Raw genomic sequence first — 22566 nt, 5'->3', positions numbered from 1 at the left:
CACTCTGAGACTGGCTGGCTCTGTGGAATTTCCAGACGCCCCTGTGGGACAGGTCCCGGGGGCGGGGGAGGAATCTGTTTTCAGGAAAAGCCAGGCACCAATCCTCGTTGCCTCTCCTCGTTTGATCCTCTTAGGCCGTCCTGGCCTGCGGGTTTGGCAGGGACAATGCCCCATCTTACAGATAGCGAAACTGAGGGGAGATACGTCCAGCAGAAAGGAGAGGAGAATTCCCATCTGCCCGCAGTCCCGGCCTGGAAAGCCCTCCGTTGCTGGGCTCAGAATGTGACGGGACCGTCGCCCTCTTTCTCTGGCTGCAGCTTCTGCTAAGGGGATGGCAGATGTCAAGGATCTCCAGACCACGGGGGAGGGAGACCCTGGATCCTGTTCTGGGCTCCCCTGGCTTCCTTTTGCGAGGTGACTCCACCCTCCCCTTCCTGCCTTTTTCCCCTACCCCTCAGTGCACAGGCCTGGGTGAAAAAAAAAAAAAAAAAAAAAAAACATAAAAAACACAAAAAACCGAGGGCTGTAGTCCTGGCAGGGCCACAGCTTCCAGTGAGAGCTCCATTTCCTCGCTGCACCCCATCAGGACTGGAGGCTAAGGACCAGCACTCCTGTTTTCTCATTAATAAAGCTAACTAAGGCCGGACGCAGTGGCTCACGCCTATAATCCCAGCAGTTTGGGAAACTGAGGTGGGTGATCACCTGAGGTCAGGAGTTCAAGACCAGCCTGGCCAACATGGTGAACGCTGTCTTTACTGAAAATACAAAAATTAGCTGGGCATGGTGGTGCACACCTGTAGTTACCACTACTTGGGAGGCTGAGGCAGGAGGATCGCTTGAACCTGGGAGGCAGAAGTTGCGGTGAGCCAAGAAGGCCACTGCCTCCAGCCTGGGTGATAGAGCAAAACTCCCTCTCAAAAAAATAAATAAGTAATAAAGAAATCTAACTAAAGGCCACTGAGTGTTCCAATTTGTGTACCTTGGGCAAGCCCCTTCCCCATTCTGGGCCTCAGTTTCCCCATCTATATCACGAATATTCTGGGATTCCCATTCAAATACATCCTCTGCAGGCAACAGCCTCCCATAGGGAGTTAACCTTTTTCTTTTGCTGTATTACTCACCTCCCCAGCACCTGTGTACATAGTAGGTACACAATAAAAGGTTAGCAAAGTATAATAGGGCCTGGCACCGTGGCTCACACTCGTAATCCCAGCACTTTGGGAGGCCGAGGTGGGTGGGTCACCTGAGGTCAGGAGTTCGAGACCAGCTTGGCCAACATAGTCAAACCCCATCTCTACTAAAAATACAAAAAAATTAGCCAGGCATGGTGGCATGTGCCTCTACAGTCCCAGCTACTCAGGAGGCTGAGGCAGGAGAACTGCTTGAACCCGGAGGGCGGAGGTTGCAGTGAGATGAGATCACATCACTGCACTCCAGCCTGGGAGACAGAATGAGACTCTGTCTCAAGATAATAATAATAATAAGTATAATGGTATCTTTACCTGTCCCCTCTCTGTCAACAAATTCCTAATGATGACCAAAAACAAGGAGAGAAAAATAAGGGGTTTATCAGCCGTATTATCTCTGCATCACCACAGTGACTAGAGTTGACTCCCACTTCCTGAAGCTGGTGGGGCAGCAGAAATTTTTCCACTCAGAAGCTAGGTTTGGGCCTGGCACAGTGGCTCATGCCTATAATCCTGGTACTTTGAGAAGCCAAGGCAAGAACATTGAATCCAGGAACTTGAGACCAGCCTGGGCAACATAGTGAGACCCGTCTCTAAGAAATAAAAATAAAAAATTAGCTGGGCGTGGTGGTGCCTGCCTGTGGTACCAGCTACTGGGGAGGCTAAGGTGGGAGAATCGCTTGAGCCTGTGAGATCGAGGCTGCAGTGAGTTGTGATCATGCCATTGCACTCAGCCTGGGTGACAAGAGTGAGACCCTGACTCAAAAAAAAAAAAAGGCCAGGCATGGTGGCTCATGCCTGTAATCCCAGCACTTTCGGAGGCCGAGGTGGGTGGATCACCTGAGGTCAGGAGTTTGAGACCAGCCTGGCCAACATGGTGAAACCCCATCTCTACTAAAAATACAAAAATCAGCTGGGTGTGGTGGCACACGCCTGTAATCCCAGCTACTCAGGAGGCTGAGGCAGGAGAATCACTTGAACCCGGGAAGCAGAAGTTGCAGTGAGCCAAGATTGTGCCACTGCACTCCAGCCTGAGCGACAGAGCAAGACTCCATCTCAAAAAAAAAAAAAGGAAAGATGCTAGGTTTAAATTTGATCTCTGCTCCTTCTTTACAGCTTCTGGCCTCATAGCCACTTTGACCCCTTGATTCTGACATGTCCTCTGGCTCATGGGTATGTCAGAAATAATGGCACCCATTTTACAGGTGCAAAACCAAAGGAAAAAAGTGAAGTGGCCAATGGCACACCACAAAATACAAGATGGTAAGATGGTAGACACAAGACTGCTTTCTTCATTGGTTCAATGAAGATGGTGATAATAGCAATAGAGCCTGTTTTACAGGATTGCAGGAAGCTCAGCTGCAACAGAGGGAACACCGTTTAGAAGCTGCGAACTGCTAGTCGTTGGTGGAGCAGAAGCCACAGTAACACAGATGCCTGGCGAGGGGCTGGGAGTAGCCTTCCTTCCAAAGGTGTTTGCCTCCAGTTCATAAACAGGGCTGGGCTTAGGCACTGGACGCACAAGGATGAACAAGACACGGTCCCTGCCTTGGTGGAATTGACACTGTGGGGGTAGGGCACAGACGAATACACAGGTAGCACAACATATCCAGGCAGTTTTTATAAGGTATACAGCCAGCGTTGTGGGAGCTCAGGTGGCCTCCTGGGTGTATTGGGTTTGTTTGTTTGTGTTTTGTTTTAACATCTCTGCCATCTTCGGCAGCTCCCGTAAGAGAAACATGGACAGTTTGGGACCTGCCACCCTTTAGCCAGCTTGGATGCCACACCTGAGGGAGAGACTGATTGGGTGACGCCTCCCCTTTTTCCTTGAGTCTCTGGGTGACCCTGTGTGACCAGAGCTGGGCAGCAGTGCATGCAATTCCCAAAGGCCTCAGGAACAAGCTTGCTGGCTTTCCTGTGGGTCAATCAGTCCAGGGAGGTCATGGCAGGTGGTCATGTTTGTGGTGTTTGTTTTTTTGTTGTTGTTGTTTTTTGTTTTTTGTGGGTTTTTTTTTTTTTTTTTTTGAGATGGAGTTTCACTTGTTGCCCAGGCTGGAGGGCAATGGTGTGATCTCGGCTCACTGCAACGTCTGCCTCCCAGGTTCAAATGATTCTCCTGCCTCAGCCTCCCGAGTAGCTGGGATTACAGGTGCCTGCCACCATGCCTGGCTAATTTTTTTGTATTTTTAGTAGAGATGGGGTTTCACCATGTTGGCCAGGCTGGTCTCAAACTCCAGACCTCAGGTGACCCACCCGCCTCAGCCTCCCAAAGTGCGAGGATTACAGGCGTGAGCCACCATGCCCTGTGGCGTTTTTTTACACCTTGGATTTGAATAATGTGCCAAATGTTTTTAGTTATTTATTTTTTTTCAAGTAAATGTACTTTTTTTTTTTTTTTTGAGACAGTCTTGCTCTGTTGCTCAGGCTGGAATGCAGTGGTGTGATCTTGGCTCACTGCAACCTCCGCCTCCCAGGTTCAAACAGTTCTTCTGCCTCAGCCTCCTATCTGGGATTATAGGCGCCTGCCACCATGCCTGGCTAATTATTTTCTTTTTCTTTTTTTTTTTTTTTTTTTTGAGACAGAGTCTCACTCTGTTGCCCAGGCTGGAGTGCAGTCGTGCGATCTCAGCTCACTGCAACCTCTGCCTCCCAGGTTCAAGCGATTCTCCTGCCTCAGCCTTCTGAGTAGCTGGGATTACAGGTGCCTGCCACCACATCTGGCTAATTTTTGTGTTTTAGTAGAGCGAGGTTTCACCATGTTGGCCAGGCTGGTCACTAACTCCTGACCTTAGGTGATCCACCCACCTCGTCCTCCCAAAGTGCTGGGATTACAGGCATGAGCCACCGCGCCCGGCCAAATAAATGTGCCTTTATTTATAATTGCAAATGGGTCAAAGATTCAGTATGTCGTACAAAACTCAAAAGGTACAAAAAAGAACACGGTGAAAAGTAAGTCTTCCTCCCTCCTCTGCTCTCAGCTTCCCAATTCTCCTCCTCCTCGGAGGTAAACACTCTTATTAGTTTCTTCTCTATCCTTCCAGAAATCAAATATTCTCTTCTAGGAATTTTTTAAAAAGCATTGTTTATCAAGATGTGGTCTACAGACCCCCTCAGTCAGAATCGCCCACATCACAAACATTCAAGTTGGAGAACACTGCTTTGAAGAATTTGCCGGGTATCATCCTGTGATGGGAAGGATATTTCCAGATGGCCTTATTTCCTCACATGATCTCGGCTCGCCGCAACCTCTGCCTCCCAGGTTCCAGCGATTCTCCTGCCTCACCCTCCAGACTAGCTGGGATTATAGGCACGTGCCACCATGCCTGGCTAATTTTTGTATTTTTAGTAGAGACGGGGTTTCACCATGTTGGTCAGGCTGGTCTTGAGGTCCTGATCTCGTGATCCGCCCACCTCGGCCTCCCAAAGTGCTGGGATTACAGGCTTGAGCCACCGCACCTGGCCCAGATGACCTTATTTCTAAGAGAGGAGACTAAGGCTGAACCTGGTCAAATTCATGCCAGGTCTAGAACTAGTTTTCAACACTTTCTGCCACACTAGTGTTTTGCAGAACCTGTGAGTACGTGTGCGTGAGTGTGCATGTGTGTGTGCGTGTGTGTGTCCTTAGGAGCAAATCCTTTCTCCAAATAAAATAATACCTAGAAACACACACACACACACACACACACAGAGGCAAAATAAAAGCAGAACTCCTCGTGTTGAAGTGGGGGTGGGGTGAACACGGACCTCACTGAGCCTTCCTTGCCTTATTGTAGGCCCTGTGGCACCTCCTTGGGACCCAAGAGTGGAAAGACCACAGTCTCATCTTAGGTGACATCCTAGAAGTGACAGGAATTTGGTATTCAGATGGTCAAATCCAAGGTGGGAGAAGAGGAATTGGAAATCCCACCTCAAATCCATTGCTAGGAACCGTGGATGTCCCCATTGTCCCCAGTGCCTGCTCCTCTCAGTCAGCCCCCCTCTGCGTTCCTCAAGCTCATGCTAAGCTGATGAATGGAGAAAGCTGGAGCCCAAGTGTCCCCAAGAAAAGAGGTGGCCTCAGCCAGGAGCGGTGGCTCACACCTGTAATCCCAGCACTTTGGGAGGCCGAGGTGGGCAGATCACTTGAGGTCAGAAGTTCAAGACCGGCCTGGCTAACATGGTGAAACCCTGTCTCTACTAATAATACAAAAAAAAAAAATTAGCATAGTGGCACAGGCCTGTAATCCCAGCTACTCGGGAGGCTGAGGCAGGAGAATCACTTGAACCTGGGAGATGGAGGTTGCAATGAGCTGAGATTGTGCTAGTGCACTCCGGCCTGGGTGACACAGCAAGACTCTGTCTCAAAAAAAAAAAAAAAAAAAAAAAGAGTTGGCCTCGTTTGAACATTCACATTCCTGACCGCTTTAAGTGTATTTATCAAGACTTCTAATGTGCCAAGCACTATAAACTCCAAGAAATCTAAAACTAGTCCTCACTCGCCAGTTACTCTCAGTTTAGCTGGAGAGAGAAGATATAAAAAGAAGTGATAATGGCCAGGCGCGGTGGCTCACGCCTGTAATCCCAGCACTTTGAGAGGCCAAGGCAGGAGGATCTCTTGAGCCCAGAAGTTTGAGACCAGCTCTGGCAACCTAGTGAGACCCCATCTCTGAAAAAAGTAAAAGAATTAGCCTGGCATGGTAGTGCCTGCCCGTGGTTCCAGCTACTTGGAAGGCTGAGATGGGAAGACTGCTGGAGCCCAGGTGGTCGAGGCTGCAGTGAGCTGAGGTGGCGCCATTGCACTCCAGCCTGGGCAAGAAGAGCAAAACTCCATCTCAAAAATAAATAAATAAATAGGAAGTGAAGTGATAACGACATTAAGCAGGGGTGTGCTGACTGCCAAGTGAGGGGCACAGGCAAGTGGGCAGATGGGCAGGCAGGTGTCTCCAGGGATGTGAGGAAGTGGGAGATCAGTTTAGGGGGAAAGGCCAGAGCTGGGCAGAAAGAAATTGCAGGCAACACTGCCTTCCAGGGGAAGCCTGGCCACTGTGAGATGCAGTCAGAGCTGAAGAAGCAGCAAATTGGGCCCTGAAGCCCCGAACTTTTTTTTTTTTTTTTAAGACAGGGTCTTACTCTGTTGCGTAGTGGCAGGATCACAGCTCACTGCAACCTCAAATGGATGGACTCAAGTGATCTTTCTACCTTAGCCTCCTGAGTAGCTGGGATTACAGGTGTATGCCACCACGCCTGACTAATTTTTGTATTTTTTTGTAGAAATGGGGTATTGCTGTATTGCCCAGGCTGGTCTTGAACTCTTGGGCTCAAGTAATTCACCTGCCTTGGCCTCCCAAAGTGCTAGGATTACAGGCATGAGCCACCACGCCCAGTCAGGCCCTGAACTCTAATCCTAGCTTAACTGGCTTGAGGGACTTGGGTTGGAGTTGAGAAAGGTTTTTTTTTGTTTTGTTTTGTTTTTTTGAGACCGAGTTTCACTCTTGTTGCCCCGGCTGGAGTGCAATGGTGCGATCTCAGCTCACTGTAAACTCCACCTCCCGTGCTCAAGTGATTCTCCTGCCTCAGCAACCTGAGTAGCTGGGATTACAAGCATGCCACCACATCTGGCTAATTTTTGTATTTTTGGTAGAGACGGGCTTTCACCAGGCTGACCAGGCTGGTCACGAACTCCTGACCTCAGGTGATCCAGCCACCTCGGCCTCCCAAAGTCCTGGGATTACAGGCATGAGCCACTGCGTCCGGCCAAAGTTAAAGAAGATTCTAACAGCAGACTTCCATCCTTCAAACCCGCTTCACCATAAATCACAACTCTATCCTTTGAGTGGCTCCACCTGGCTCACGCCACTGCAGCCTCACGCTGGCCTCCTAACTGCTGTTTGAACACACCAAGATCACTCTCACCTGAGTACTTGCTGGTCTCTCTGCTGGAAGGCTCTTCCCCCAGGCACTTGTATGGCTGGATCCCTCATTTCTTTCCTTCACTGGGCTCAACACCTGATCAGGGAGGCATTCTCCAACTGCCCTTTGTTAAACAGCACCCTTTCCGCTCTCAACACACCTTCCCTTCTTTATGTTCTTCATAGCATCTATCATCATATGGCATTCTATATATTTACCTGTTGGCTGCCGCTCCCATTAAGTGTGAGTTCCATGCGGGCAACACTGTTCGTGCCCCTGGTGCCTAGAACAGCACCAGACACATAGTAGGTATTACAACATAAGCATTCATTGAATAAGTCAGTACATGAGTAACTCCCTCTCTTTTTTTTTTTCTTTCTCACCCCCGTGATTGCCTGGAGAGAGTAGCTCCCTCTCAATGATTCTCACAGAATCCTCTCTAGGATGGAGGCGGGTGCTCACCTTGGCCTGGAACTTTGATCTCATGGACAGCAGAGGTCCTGGTGCAACTTTACCATGCCACAAGCAGTTGTAGCAGTGCAATTGTAAATCTCACCAGAAGGTGACAGTTGCCAAGGTGACAGCTTCTCATGGTACGTGATAAGGAACTGGGTGGAGAGGAGACCTAGCCTTGGAAAGGGAGCACCATAGGAGTTGGTGGGAGCAGGTGAAAGGCTTGGTTCCTTGCTCCCTGCCTGGTGCCTGGTCACTGCAGACACTGAGTCAGGGACCAAGGGGAGGAGGGAGGCAGTCATCGTCATGACAGGAGCATCAGTGAAACTGCTGGCCTGGTATCGCCTCCTGGGCCTGGACTCCATGTCCTTTGTCTGTCCTTGGTACCCCAGATGAGTCAGCAAGATCCAGCCTCTGAGGTTCATTGCAGCACTTCCCCTGGAGGCAGATTAGAGGATGTTGCAGGACATTAAGTAATACATCTGGAGCAGGCGCGGTGGCTCAAGCCTATAATCCCAGCACTTTGGGAGGTCAAGGCGGGCGGATCACCTGAGGTCAGGAGTTTGAGACCAGCCTGGCCAACATGCTGAAACTCTGTCTCTACTAAAAATACAAAAATTAGCCAGGCGTGGTGGTGCACGCCTGTAATCCCAGCTACTCAGGAGGCTGAGGCAGGAGAAGCTCTTGAACCTGGGAGGCAAAGTTTGCAGTGAGCCGAGATTGCGCCACAACACTCCAGCCTGGGCGACACAGCCAGGCTCTGTCTCAAATAAATAAACAAACAAACAAATAAATAAATAAATAATACATCTGGTAGGGAAGGAGGCTGGGAAAGCCAGCTTGCAGCCTGGGGATAAGGGTCATCTGGACTGAACTTGTCTCTGTATGGAACCCTACAGTCCAGGAAACAGATGGGGCTGGGAACTGAGGTGGGGCTTCCCTAGCCTCAGCTGAAAATCAGCATTTTAGCCGGGCGCGGTGGCTCATGCCTGTAATCCCAGCACTTTGGGAGGCCGAGGTGGGCGGATCACAAGGTCAGGAGACCGAGACCATCCTGGCTAACACGGTGAAACTCCATCTCTACTAAAAATACAAAAAATACAAAAAATTAGCCGGGCCTGGTGGCGGGTGCCTGTAGTCCCAGCTACTCGGGAGCCTGAGGCAGGAGAATGGCGTGAACCCGGGAGGCGGAGCTGGCAGTGAGCCAAGATGGTGCCACTGCACTCCAGCCTGGGCGACAGAGCAAGACTCCGTCTCAAAAAAAAAAAAAAAAAAGGAAATCAGCATTTTAGCTACAAGCAGGTGATAAAAGACAGTTTCAAAGCAGCAAATCCTCACAGAAAATGAATGTAGGCGTGCCTTGCTTTAAGCCATTCCTTATAGAAAAACTGAATCTCTCCCAAGAATAAACAATAAAGGGGGTAATTCTTCATTAGAAAGAGGGATGCTCCTTGGAGACACAGGTGAGTTTCCCTTGTGAACTGGAATCATTGCCTTTATAAATATTCAGTTTCCTCATAACTTGAAATGTTACACTTTCTGATTTATAAAACTACCTTCAAATACAGGAATACTTTCACACATATAAAATCTCATCAGATTTTTTTTTTTTTTTTTGAGTCTCACTCTGTCGCTCAGGCTGGAATGCAGTGGCACAATCTTGGCTCACTGCAACCTCCACCTCCCCAGTTTCAAGCAATTCTCCTGCCTCAGCCTCCCAAGTAGCTGGGATTAAAGGCGTGACCACCACACCCTGCTAATTTTTGTATTTTTAGTAGAGATGAGATTTTACCATGTTGGTCCGGCTGGTCTGGAACTCCTGACCTCAAGTGATCCACCCACCTCAGCCTCCCAAAGTGCTGGGATTACAGGCGTGAGTCACCAAACCCAGCTGATCATCTCATCAGATTATCAGAGGAACCTATGAGGTATCTATCATTATACCCCCTCCCCGGCTTTTTTTTTTTTTTTTTTTTTTAGAGACAGGGTCTTGCTCTGTTGCCCAGGCTGGAGCTTTTTGTTTATTTTAGAGACAGGGTCTTGCTCTGTTGCCTGGGCCGGAGTGCAGTGGTGCAACCTTCACTCATTGCAGCCTAGACCTCAAGAGATCCTCCTGCCTCAGCCTCCTGGGACTACAGGTGCGCACCACCACACCTGGCTAATTTTTTTAATTTTTGGTAGAGATGGGGTCTCGCCACGTTGCCCAGGCTGGTCTCCAACTCCTGGGCTCAAGCAATTCTCCTGCCTCGGCCTCCCAAAGTGCTGGGATGACAGGCGTGAGCCACCACACCTGACCAATTATCTCCATTTTGCGAGCGAGGAAACAGGCTTAGAGCGGATAAGTCACATAGTTCAGGCAGGCCTTCGTGCTTGACGCTCTTCCCAGCACATCACACCTGTCCCCATGTGATTCTGACACAGCTCTTGGGAGGCTGGTACAGAGCAACAGACTATGATCCCATGTGAGAGATGAGAAAACTGAGCCCCAGGGAGGAGAAGGGCTCCAAATAGATTCCCTGACTGAGTCTAGGCTCTAGAGTCAGACACACCCAGGTTCAAGTCCTAGGTCTACCACTCACCAATTCTCCTTGGCAAGTACTTGACCTCTTGGTGCCTCGGTTTCTACATCTATAAAATGGGGATGATAATAACTAACTCGTGGGAGCTGGGAGGGTGAACTGAAGTGATGTATGTTATTGTTGAGAGTGCTGCCTGACACACGGCTGCTTGTCATTCTTGTTATTTTGTATGCCTGTCATTCTTGTTATTTTCAGAGTATTTCACACTTCTATGAAATATCCACAGAGGCGTGTAATGGAGAGTCTCCTCTGGGGGCAGGCAAGATGTCAGCCAACCCTCATCCTAGCCCTTCCCTCCCCTCACCACCCTCAACCTTTCTTGAAGGTCACACTAGGCTGGTTCTCTCCCAGCCCCCAAGAAACTCCCTGCCACTGCCTGGCCCCACCTTGAAGCTGCCCGGTGGCCCTGGCAGATGAATTGCATCTCCTGGGGCCGCACCCGGCATGTGGTCATCCTGCCTCTGCCTGCGGCAGGGCCTGGAGCCCGGACATGCCTGGCAGGCTTCCAGGGCTTCTTTGGTAGGACGCCCCGCCACTCCCTCTGGGCCCCTCTATTCTGGGAGCTGTAATTTAGACAGCCTTCTCCGCCCCAATTGCTATCTGTGACAGCAGTCCCTGTTCCCCAGGGCCCTGCCCACCCCTCCTTGCCTGCCTTTTCATAAACAGCTCCCGGGCTGCCCTGTTATCTTGGGCACTGTGGCTCTGGGGAGGAGGCCCTGCCACCCTGAAGATACAACGAATCCCTCCATCCCAGGGAGAAGCTGACCCAATGCAGACAGAGGTGGGATAAAGCCCTCACCCACCAAAGCCCAATATAGCAGCCCTCAGAACCTGACCCTGAAGTCTGCTGGATGGGGTGGGGTGCAGAGAAGAGGATAGGCTGTCATTATTCCCCCAACACCCTGGGGACTGGGTCAGCCGGGGCTATGGTCTCCCTAAAGGCCCCTGCCTCAGCCATGCATGTTCAGCCACAGGCCACAAAATGTGTGTGTGTGTCTGTGTGTTGAGGGTATCAATAATAGCAACAAAAGTGATGTTTCTAAAATGCAAATGTGCCGATGTTTCTAAAATGCAAATATGCCAATGTTTCTAAAATGCAAATGTGCCTGGGGAGGCTAAGGGGAGAGCATCTCTTGGGACCAGGAGTTCAAGACCAGCCTGGGCAACATAGCAAGACTCCATCTCTACAAAAAAAAATTAAAAATTAGCTGGGTATGGTGACCAATTAGACCTAGCTACTTGGGAGGCTGAGGTGAGAAGACTGCTTGAGCCAGGGAGGTCAAGGCTGCAGTGAGCTGAGATCATGCCACCGCACTCCAACTTGGGCAACAGAGCCAGACCCTGTCTCCAAAATAAAATAAAATAAAACATAGGCCAGGTGCGGTGGCTCACACCTGTAATCCTAGCACTTTGGGAGGCCGAGGTGGGTGGATCACTTGAGGTCAGGAGTTCAAGAGCAGCCTGGGCAATGTGGTGAAATCCCATCTCTACTAAAAATACAAACAAATTAGCCTGGCGTGGTGGCAGGCACCTGTAATCTCAGCTACTTGGGAGGCTGAGGCAGGAGGATCACTTGAACCCAGGAGGCGGAGGCTGCAGTGAGCTGAGATCCTGCTTCTACTGCACTCCAGCTTGGGTGACAGAGGGAGACTCCGACTCAAAAAAATCAAAATCAAAATAAAATAAAATGCAAATGAGATTGTGTCACTCCCTGACTCCAAACCTTCAGTGTTTCCCCACAGCCCTTACAGATGAAGCTCAAAAGACCCTCCAAGCTCTGCCTTTTCTACCACTTCTCTCACCTCAGTGCCTTGGCACGAGCTTCCCCGGCCCCTGCCTGGACATCGTTCTCCTCTTCACCTAACTCCTGTTCATCCTGCAGGTCTCAGCTTATAAGTTATTGCTCATGGAACCCTCCTGTGACATCACAGACACTCCCTCCCTGGTCCTCCCTTTGGACTGGGATGGGTGTCCCTCCTGAGTTCACCAGAAGCACCACGCCCTTGTCTGTGCACTGGTCTACTTGCTGCCAGCTATAAGTGCTCCCAGGGCCGAAGCTTCCTCTTATCGTTATTTTTTAGTCGCTAGCCTGGTCCTGGCACACAGTAGGTTTTCCAAATATATTTGTTGGAAGAATGTGCAAATGAATACATGAATGACTCCTCTGGCCCTCCAGGATGTATGGGTGTCTTGAGAGGTATTTGACTACTTTGTGCCTTCCATTTTCTTTTTTGTTTGTTTGTTTTTTGAGGCAGAGTCTCCCTCTGTCACTCAGGCTGGAGTATAGTGACACAATCTCGGCTCACTGCAACCTCTGCCTCCTGGGTTCAAGTGACTCTCCTGACTCAGCCTCCTGAGTAGCTGGGACTACAGACATGCGCCACCCCGCCCGGCTAATTTTTGTATTTTTAGTAGAGACGGGGTCTCGCCATGTTAGCCAGGCTGGTCTTGACCCCAAGTGATCTGCCCGCCTCAGCCTCCCAAAGTGCTGGGCTTACAGGTGTGAGCCACAGAACCCGGCCATGCCTTCCATTTTCTTTTTTTTTCTTTTTTTTGAGATGGAGTCTTGCTTTGTCACCCAGGTTGGAGTGCAGTGGTGTGATCTTGGCTCACTGCAACCTCCATCTCCTGGGTTCATGCAATTCTCCTGCCTCAGCCTCCCTAGTGGCTGGGATTACAGGCATGCACCACCACGCCTGGCTAATTTTTGTATTTTTAGTAGAGACAGGATTTCACCATATTGGTCAGGCTGGTCTTGAACTCCTGACCTCAAGTGATCCACCACCTCAGCCTCCCAAAGTGCTGGGATTACAGGCGTGAGCCACCACGCCCGGCCATGCCTTCCATTTTCTAGGAAAGCCCAGATGTCCCTTCATCCTCTAAGTATAACTTCAGGCTTGCTGCACTGTCTGTCCATCTTGATTTGGTCAATATGGTAGCTATGGCCATGGGTCTGCTGGCGGGGAGCCCCAGCAGGCTCTAAGGATGCACTCTAGGACAAAGCAGGCATCCTTGGGTTGAGGGGGAGAAGGGCATAGGAGGAGGGCGTCCTCAGGCCGTGGGTCACTTATGAGCAACAAGTCTGTTACCAGGAGGAAAGACAAGCCAAATGGACAGGTCAAGTCCTTATTTTGGCATTTTCTGCTGTGCTATGGAGACACACTTTGTATGTTGCTTGCTCCAAAGAGGGAAACCAGAAATAACAACCTACAACTACAGCCACTAAGCTGGAGTTAGATTGTTTACCGGTTATCCCAATAACTATTGGAAGACCTCTGAAATGTCAGTATTCCTGCATGCAAATTGCAATTCCTGTGGTGCCAGCTACTCAGGAGGCTGAGGCAGGAGAATCACTTGAACCTGGGAGGCAGAGGTTGCAGTGAGCCAAGATTGCACCACTGCACTCCAGCCTGGGCAACTGAGTAAGATTCCATCTCAAAAAATAAAGATAAAAATAAATAAAAAATTCGCTCCGCATGGTGGCGTGTGCCTGCAGTCCCAGATATTTGGGGAGCTGAGGCAGGAGAGGATGGCTTAAGCCTGGGAGGTGGAGGGTGCAGTGAGCCAAGATTCAGCCACTGCACTTCAGCCTGGGTGACAAAGTAAGACCCTGTCTCAAAAAAAACAATAAATAAATAAATAAAGCCTCTCTCATGTCTACCCCATTTCCCTGCTTTAATTTTCTCCAAAGCACTTACTGCTCTCTAATACACTGGGATTTTTGTGGGGTTTGTTTGTTTTTTTTTTTCCAAGATGGAGTCTTGCTGTGTCACCCAGGCTGGAGTGAAGTGGCGTGATCTCGGCTCACTGCAACCTCCGCCTCCCAGGTTGAAGCAATTCTCCTACCTCAGCCTCCTAAGTAGCTGGGATTACAGATGCCTGCCACAACGCCCAGCTAATTTTTGTATGCTAATTTTCGTATTTTTAGTAGAGATTGGATTTCACCATGTTGGCCAGGCTGGTCTTAAACTCCTGACCTGATCTTCCTGCCTCAGCCTCCCAAAGTGTTGGGATTACAGGCGTGAGCCACTGTGCCTGGTCAAGGGTTTTGTTTTGATTTTTTGAGATGGAGTTTTGCTCTTGTTGCCCAGGCTGGAGTGCAATGGCGTAATCTTGGCTCACCGCAACCTCTGCCTCCCGGGTTCAAGTGATTCTCCTGCCTCAGTTTCCCGGATTACAGGCATGCACCACCATGCCTGGCTAATTTTGTATTTTTAGTAGAGATGGGGTTTCTCCACGTTGGGTCAGGTTGGTCTCAAACTCCTGACCTCAGGTGATCTGCCCACCTCGGCCTCCCAAAGTGCTGGGATTACAGGCGTGAGCCACCGCACCCGGCCAGGTTTTTTTTTAAACTTAATTCTTGTGTTTACTGTCTGCGTCCTCCATAGAATGTAAGAGCCCTGTCAATTTTGTTTACTGATATATCCCTGATTTAGTTCTTTTTCTTTTTCTTTTCTTTTTTTTCTTTTTGAGACAGAGTTTTGCTCTTGTCGCCCAGGCTGGAGTGCAGTGGCGTGAGCTCCACCTCCTGGGTTCAAGTGATTCTCCTGCCTCAGCCTCCTGGGTAGCCTGCCACCACACCCAGCTAAATTTTGTATTTTCAGTAAAGACGAGGTTTCACCATGTTGGCCAGGCTGGTCTCAACCTCCTGACCTCAGGTGATCCACTCGCCTCGGCCTCCCAAAGTGCTGGGGTTACAGGCGTGAGCCACTGTGTCCGGTCTGCCCTCCTAATTTTAAAAAAATTTTTTTACAGAGATGGAGGGTCTCACTATGTTGCCCAACCTGGTCTCAAGCTCCTGGGCTTAAGTGATCCTCTAGCCTCAGTCTCTCAAAGTGCTGGGATTTGGGAACTCACAGGCACGAGCGACCACACCTGGCTAGTTTTCTATTTCTGTGTAACGAATTACCCTCATAACTTAGCAGCCTACAACACTAAGCATTTATTGTCTCCCAGTTTCTGCAAGCAGGGTCCTCATGAGGTTGCAGTCATCTCAAGGCCTGACCAGGGCTGGAGGGTTGACCTGGCTGTGTCCAGGCTCACACGTTGACCTGACCAGGGCTGGAGCCTGACCAGGCTGTGTCCAGGGTCACCCATGTGGTGCTTGGCAGACCCAAGTTCCTCACTGGCTATTGGCAGGGGCTTTGGCTCCTTCCCATGTGGGTCTCTCTATAGGGCTGCTTACACTGTGGCAGCTTGTTTGCCCCAGAGCGGGCAAGCAAAGAAGAGGGAGGGCAAGAGAGTGAGAGAGCATCCAAGGCAGGAGCCGCAGTCTCTCATAACCTAATGTTGGAAGTGATGGTCCTTTGCTTCCTGGTCCTGCTGGCAGGGGACTACCCAAGGGTGCAGACATCAGGAGGTGGGCAACATCAGGCTATCTTGGAAGCTGGTCACCACAGTCCCCAACACATACCTGGCACTTAGAAGATTCTCAAGAAATATTGCCAGGTACGGTGGCTCACACCTGTAATCCCAGCACTTTGGGAGGCCAAGGCGGGCGGATCACTTGGGGTCAGAAGTTTGAGACCAGCCTGGCCAACATGGTGAAACCCCATCTCTACTAAAAATGCAAAAAAATTAGCCAGGCATGGTGGCATGCGCCTGTAATCCTAGCTACTCGGGAGGCTGAGGCAGGAGAATCATTTGAACCCGGGAGGCAGAGGTTGCAGTGAGCCGAGATCGTGCCATTGCACTCCAGCCTGGGCAACAGAGCAAGACTCTGTCTCAAAAACAAAACAAAACAAAACAAAAACAAAAACAAGAAATAGCGGTAGAATGAAAGAATGAAGACAAGAATGATTTTGGCACAGTGAATAGTCGGGTCCATCCCTGAAGGATCTTAAACACATTCAGGTTTCTTCACACCCCCCACTGACCCCCACAATGCTCTCTTATTCACCTCCATCTCTTCCCAGCCATGTGAATGGGGCAAGTTCCAAACCTCACAGGCCTGTTGTGGGGATTAAAAGACATGAGGGGGCTGGTCGTTGTGGCTCAGGGCTGTAATCCCAGCACTTTAGGAGGCCGAGGCGGGCACATCACCTGAGGTCAGGAGTTCAAGACCAGTCTAACCAACATGGTGAAACCCCGTCTCCACCAAAAATACAAAAATAGCCAGGCATGGTGGTGCATGCCTGTAATCGCCAGCTACTTGAGAGGCTGAGGCGGGAGAATAGCTTGAACCCGGGAGGTGGAGATTGCAGTGAGCTGAGATTGTGCCATTGCACTCCAGCCTAGGCAACAAGAGCAAAACTCCATCTCAAAAAATATATATATATAAAAGACACGAGAGCCCAGGCTTGGTGGTTCATACAGGTAATCCCAGCACTTTGGGAGGCCAAGACAGGTGAATTACTTGAGGCCAGGAGTTAGAGACCAGCCTGGCTAACATGGGGAAACCTGTCTCTACTAAAAATTCAAAAAAATTAGCTGGGCATGGTGGCGTTCACCTGTAGTCCTAGCTACTCAAAGGCTGAAATGGGAGAATTGCTTCAACCCAGGAGGCAGAGGTTGCAGTGAGCCACCAACGCACCACTGCACTCCAACCTGGGCGACAGAGTGAGACTCTGTCTCAAAAGAAAAACAAACAAAAAAACATTTAGAAACTTGAGAGCAAGTTAGTACTAGTATGGACACTCTTAATTTAAAAAAAAAAAGAAATAGAAAAAATAAGACATGAAGGTGTAAGGATCATAGGATCTGACACACACAAGCCTTCAATATGTAGCCATCACGGGCTGGGCACAGTGGCTCATGCCTGTATTCCGAGCACTTTGGGAGGCCAAGGCAGGCAGATCACTTGAGGTCAGGAGTTCAAAACCAGCCTGGCCAAAATGGTGAAACCTCATCTCTAATCTCTACTAAAAATACAAAAACTAGCCAGGCATGGTGGGATGAACCTGTAGTCCCAGCTACTCAGAAGGCTGAGACAAGAGAATCCCTTGACCCAGAAGGGAGGTTGCAGTGAGCCGAGATCATGCCACTGCACTCCAGCCTGGGTAACACAGCAAGACTCCGACTCAAAAAAAAAAAAAAAATATATATATATATATATATAGCCATCATGGGCAGTGCTATGTGTCACTAACACTGCAGAGAAAGAGAAAGATCAAGGGAATGGAAGAGCATTTGCAAAATTATGACTGAAACAGTAAAAGAGATCTAAATTACTCAACTCTACCTTGCTCTTTTTTTTTTTTTTTTTTTTGAGATGGAGTTTCGCTCTTGTTTTGTCCAGATTGGAGTGCAATGGTGCGATCTCGGCTAATTTTGTATTTTTAGTAGAGATGGGGTTTCTCCATGTTGGTCAAGCTGGTCTCGAACTCCCCACCTCAGGTGATCCACCCGCCTCGGCCTCCCAAAGTGCTGGGATTACAGGCGTGAGCCACCGCGCCCGGCCAACTCCATCTTGCTTCTAACCTCCAAGCTGTCCTTGTTCATTCCTGGGCATAGGCTGAACTAACTTTGGGAGAAACTCAGTTCATAGTTTATAGTTGAAAACAAAGATGATAACAGCCCTTTCCCAAAGCAGATCTCCTTCTTGCTTGGGGACTAGATTGCCTTTGTAGGACTAACATTAGCCACGAGATTAGAAATTATGGTTCAGGAGTCATGCCGCTGGAGGCTACAAAGTTCTGACCCTCCCTAAACTGCTCCTAAGATCAGTGCTTGAGATACTTTGCAGACCCTGCACTTGATGGATCAGCTGGCACCACCCAGGTAGATAAATGAGCTCATCTGATCTTGTGGCCCCCATTGGGGAACTGACTAAGAGCAAGAAGACAGCTTCGACTGCCTATGATTTCATCCCTGACCAATCAGCACTCCTGGCTCACTGGCTTCACCCCCGCAACCCCCCCTCAAAAGTTGTCCTTAAAAACTCTGCTCCCCAAATGCTCAAGGAGACTGATTTGAGTAATAATGAAACTCCGGTCTCCTGCATAACTGTCTCTGTGTGGATTACTCTTTCCTTATTGCAATTTCCCTGTTTTGAGGAATCGGCTCTGTCTAGGCAATGGGCAAGGCGAACCCATTAGATGGTTACAGGATCTCTCTGGATTCAAGAGCAGTTGTGAATCTGGGGGTGTTGGAGTCAGTGCATGTGCGTGTGTGTGTGTGTGTGTGTGTGTGTGTGTATTTCTATGTGTTTGATCTTCTGAGAGGAGCTGTCACAGGTCAGCAGTGCCGTGGATGGGTCATGAGGTGCGGACACCCAGGTTATCACTTGGGCCAGAGATGGTCACATGCTGGGGCCTCAGTCACCCAAACAGGCAGGAGATACTGATGAGTACATGGGCTGCCATCTGTTTACACTGCATAGCATTCGTTATACCAGCAGTTCTTAACCTTTTTGCAATGAAGGGAGGTCAGGGGACAGGGTGTCATGGAACCCTCTGAAAGTTTGCAAGTTCAATGCTCTGCCAAGCAATTAAAAAAGAAAAAAAGAAAGTTTGCAAGAAAAATGCACATATGTACATAAACACTAAAATATATATAAAATCAGCTGGGCGTGGTGGCTCATGCCTGTAATGCCAGCACTTGGGGAGGCCTAGGCGGGTGGATCAAGAGGTCAGGAGTTCAAGACCAGCCTGGCCAAGGTGGTAAAACCCATCTCTACTAAAAATACAAAAATTAGCCGGGCTACTTTTTACAGGTAGGTGCCTGTAATCCCAGCTACTCGGGAGGCTGAGGCAGAAGAATTGCTTGAAACCGGGAGGCATAGGTTGCAGTGAGCCGAGATTGTGCCACTGCACTGCAGCCGGGGCGATAGAGTGGGACTCCGTCTCAAAAATAATCATAATAGTAAAATACAGATATAATAATATAAATATATAAAAATAATATAAATATAATACTATAATAAAAAATAATAAAATAAAAAATAATAAAACATAAACATATATTTTATAGTTTATATTTATATATATAGTTTATAAAATATAGTATATACATTTTATAGCTTGAGGTCAGGAGTTCAAGACAAGCCTGGCCAACATGGCGAAACCCCGTCTCCACTAAAATAAATAAATATATATATATATATATATATATACACACACAATCATTTCAGACCATTACCAGACCTTAGATTCAAAATGCCAAACTGAGACTTTGGCCTCCTTGAAGGCAATGACTGGAGCTTATATCTCCTAAACAAATTAGTGAATGAATGAATGAATGAATGAATGAAAAAAAAGAATCAAACAACTGCCAAAAAGCCCAGAATCTGAGAATCTTTGCTGGTTGGCACATCCCCTGCAGAAAACCAGCTGGTTTCACAAGACTTCAAGTGTTGCCTTAGCCACCTTCCTAACTGTATGACCTTGGACTTGTCACCTCATCTCCCTAAGTCTCATTTTCCTTATCAGAAAAATAGTGAGAATGACAAAGGGTGTTTTGTGGGCTACACAACCCATTAAAAACATAAAGGTCTCCACTGGGAGCCGTGGCTCATGCCTATAATCCCAGCATTTTGGAAGGCTGAGGTGGGCAGATCAGTTGAGGTCAGGAGTTCGAGACCAGCCATGGCCAACATGGTGAAACCCTGTCTCTACTAAAAATACAAAAAAAAAAAAAAAATATATATATATATATATATATATATATATATATATATATATAGACAGGTGTGGTGTCACGCACCTGTAGTCCCAGCTACTTAGGAGGCTGAGGCAGGAGAATAACTTGAGCCCAGGAGGCAAAAGTTGCAGTGAGCGGAGATCGTGCCACTATACTCCAGCCTGGGCGACAGAATAAGACTCCATCTTAAAAAAAAAAAAATCCAAAAAAAAAGGTCTCTTATTTTGGAAGAAGCTTCTGAAGTTAGGCAGAAGGAATTGAGTGATCAGATCAACCAGTCCTCTGGCCTCTAGCCCCATCAACACAGACCTGCCTTAGGGCTGGGAAGATTGCTGGTGGGGGAGCTTGCTCCAGGGAAGGAATGGAAGAAATGCTGGAGGCTAAGCCTGTCATTTGTTAGCATATTCATAGTCAGATGGCCAAATTAGGACACAACCAAGGTTGGGCCAGCTTGCTTTGGTCTGGTTCCAGGTCTAAGACAACAGCCTATACAAGTTGACTAGATTGAGAATCCTACAGACATTCAAGCAACAAATATTTATCTGTGCAGCTACTATGGGCCAAGGCCTGTGCTAGGCACCGGGGATTCTATGAGAACAAAGCTACTGCGATCGCTGTCCTCTCAAAGCTGACAGGAGGAAGACATTAATTAATCACCCAGGAGAAGTGTAAAGGTGCTGTGGAGCTGTGTAATGTGGGAGCTCCTGATCCTGGGGTGGGGAGGGACAGGGAGAGCAGGACAAGCTTCCTTGTAGCTCAGCCCTGAGCTCAGTGAGGAGCCATGGATGGGTTGGGAAATACCCTGGGCAGAGGCTATAGCAAGTGCAAAGGGCCTGTGGTTTTCTTTTGAAACTAGGAAAGAGGCTGGGCATGGTGGCTCACGCCTTTAATCCCAGCACTTTGGGAGGCCGAGGCGGGTGGATCACTTGAGGTCAGGAGTTTGAGACCCACCTGGCCAACATGATAAAACCCTGTCTCTACTAAAAATACAGAAATTAGCCAGGCATGGTCATGGGCACCTGTAATCCCAGCTACACGAGAGGCTGAGGCAGGAGAATCGCTTGAACTTGGGAGGTGGAGGTTGCAGTGAGCCGAGATCGCGCCGCTGCACTCCAGCCTGGGCAATAGAGTGAGACTCAGTCTCAAAAAAAAAAATAAAATAAAATTGGAAAGAAGGCGTGTGTGGTTAAAGGGCAGAGTGAGGGGGACTGGGACACAGACATGGTTAGAGAATTAACACAAGGCAGGCAGAGACCAAGTTACCTTGTTCTCTTTAATGTGACATTTGCAAAGACAGAAGAAACCAGAGAGGCAGATTTCAAGTCTCTGAATAGTTGTTACACAGAAGAAGGCTGTCTCAGAAACAAAATGAGGGGAACTCCTCCAGCAAGTGGGACTGGAGTCAGATAGGAAGGACTTTCCAGCAGAGAAGGGTGTCTGTGGGACTGCTTTCTCTCCTTCACCTGTTGTGGGTATCTGCTGGATGACAGAAAATGGGTTCGTTTGTTTGTTCACTCACTTCTCTGTCCTGTTTCCCCTGCCATGGTCCCCCCATTATTGCTGCTAAGTGAGGAGGACAGTGGACAGCTCTGTCAGGGTGAGTCTGTTGTAGGGAGAGGGGCCTGGGATTGGGGAAGGCAGGGAAGGAGGGATGTAGATGGGGTATCATCTCTAAGCTGCCAAGGGCAGGTGGAGGGGTGAGAGGAGGGGACCGCCCACAGCAACCAATAACAAGAAGTGGATGGGACAATCCAGGTGCGGTGGCTCACGCCTGTAATCCCAGCACTTTGGGAGGCCAAGGCAGGCAGATCACCTAAGGTCAGGAGTTAGAGACCAGCCTGGCCAACATGGTGAAACCCTGTCTCTACTAAAAATACAAAAATTAGCTGGGCATGATGGTGGGCACCTGTAATCCCAGCTACTCGGGAAGGTGAGGCATGAGAATTGCTTGAACCCAGGAGGCGGAGATTGCAGTGAGCCAAGATTGCGCCACTGCACTCCAGCCTGGGCGACGGAGTGAGATTCTGTCTCAAAAAAAAAAAAAAAAAAGATGAGACAGGACAGAATTCCCCTGGTGGGCACAGCAGATCTGCCAGTTGTTTGGAAAGGGCTTGTTTGGAAGCCCCTCACGCTTGTTTGGAAAGGGCTGTTTGCTTGCCAGGTCTCTTCTCTAGACTATAAACTTCTGAGGCCAGGCAAGGTGGCTCACACCTGTAATCTCAGCACTTTGGGAGGCCAAGGTAGGAGGAGCCTGGGAGTTCAAGATCATCCTGGGCAACATGGCGAAACCCCATCTACAAAAAATACAAACAAATTTTTATCAGACATAGTGATGCACATCTGTAGTCCCAGCTACTCGGGAGGCCGAGGTATGAGAATAGCTTGAGTCTTTCGAGGCTGCAGTGAGCCATGACTGCACGCGCCTCTGAACTCCAGCCTGGGCAACAGAGTGAGATCCTGTCAGAAAAAAAAAAAGAAAAAAAAAAAAGGCTCCTAGAGGGCAGGATCTATGTCTTGTTCAATATCATATTTCCCAGGGCCGGATGCAGTTAATTTCATTATATTCATTGAATGAATGAGAGCACAAGCAAATGAATGCCATGTTGCAGGGATGCCTGGGAGGGCAGGAGAATATAGACTGTCCACCACTACCTGCAGGATCTGGCTCCAAAGATCTGAGCCTTGGCTGGGTGGATGGCTCACACCTATAATCCCAGCACTTTGGGAGGCCAAGGTGGGCAGATCACTTGAGGTCAGGAGTTCAAGACAAGCCTGGCCAACATGGCAAAACCCCATCTCTACTAAAAATAAAAAAAATTAGCCAGGCCTGGTGGCAGGCACCTGTAATCCCAGCTACTCAGGAGGCTGAGGCAGGAGAA

At 48.9% G+C, this 22566-nt stretch overlaps 2 long non-coding RNA genes across 2 annotated transcripts; both read right to left on the bottom strand.

Annotated features, from left to right (window-relative positions):
• FLJ40194 (uncharacterized) lies at nt 1548-11970 on the bottom strand. The gene is made up of 3 exons (NR_034161.1): nt 11911-11970; nt 7539-7967; nt 1548-1780 (listed from the first exon to the last, which is right to left on the bottom strand). It is a non-coding gene; the product is annotated as an uncharacterized FLJ40194 (long non-coding RNA).
• Nucleotides 11971-20941: 8971 nt separating this feature from the next.
• LOC124904022 (uncharacterized) lies at nt 20942-21936 on the bottom strand. Its single transcript, XR_007065836.1, has 2 exons — nt 21899-21936; nt 20942-21163 (listed from the first exon to the last, which is right to left on the bottom strand). It is a non-coding gene; the product is annotated as an uncharacterized LOC124904022 (long non-coding RNA).
• Between the last annotated feature and the right edge of the window lie 630 nt (nt 21937-22566).

This window comes from Homo sapiens, chromosome 17 (assembly GCF_000001405.40).
Source record: "Homo sapiens chromosome 17, GRCh38.p14 Primary Assembly".
NCBI lineage: Eukaryota > Metazoa > Chordata > Mammalia > Primates > Hominidae > Homo > Homo sapiens.
The sequence above is the reverse complement of the archived record's forward strand: the minus strand, read 5'-3'. Positions and strand labels throughout refer to the sequence as shown.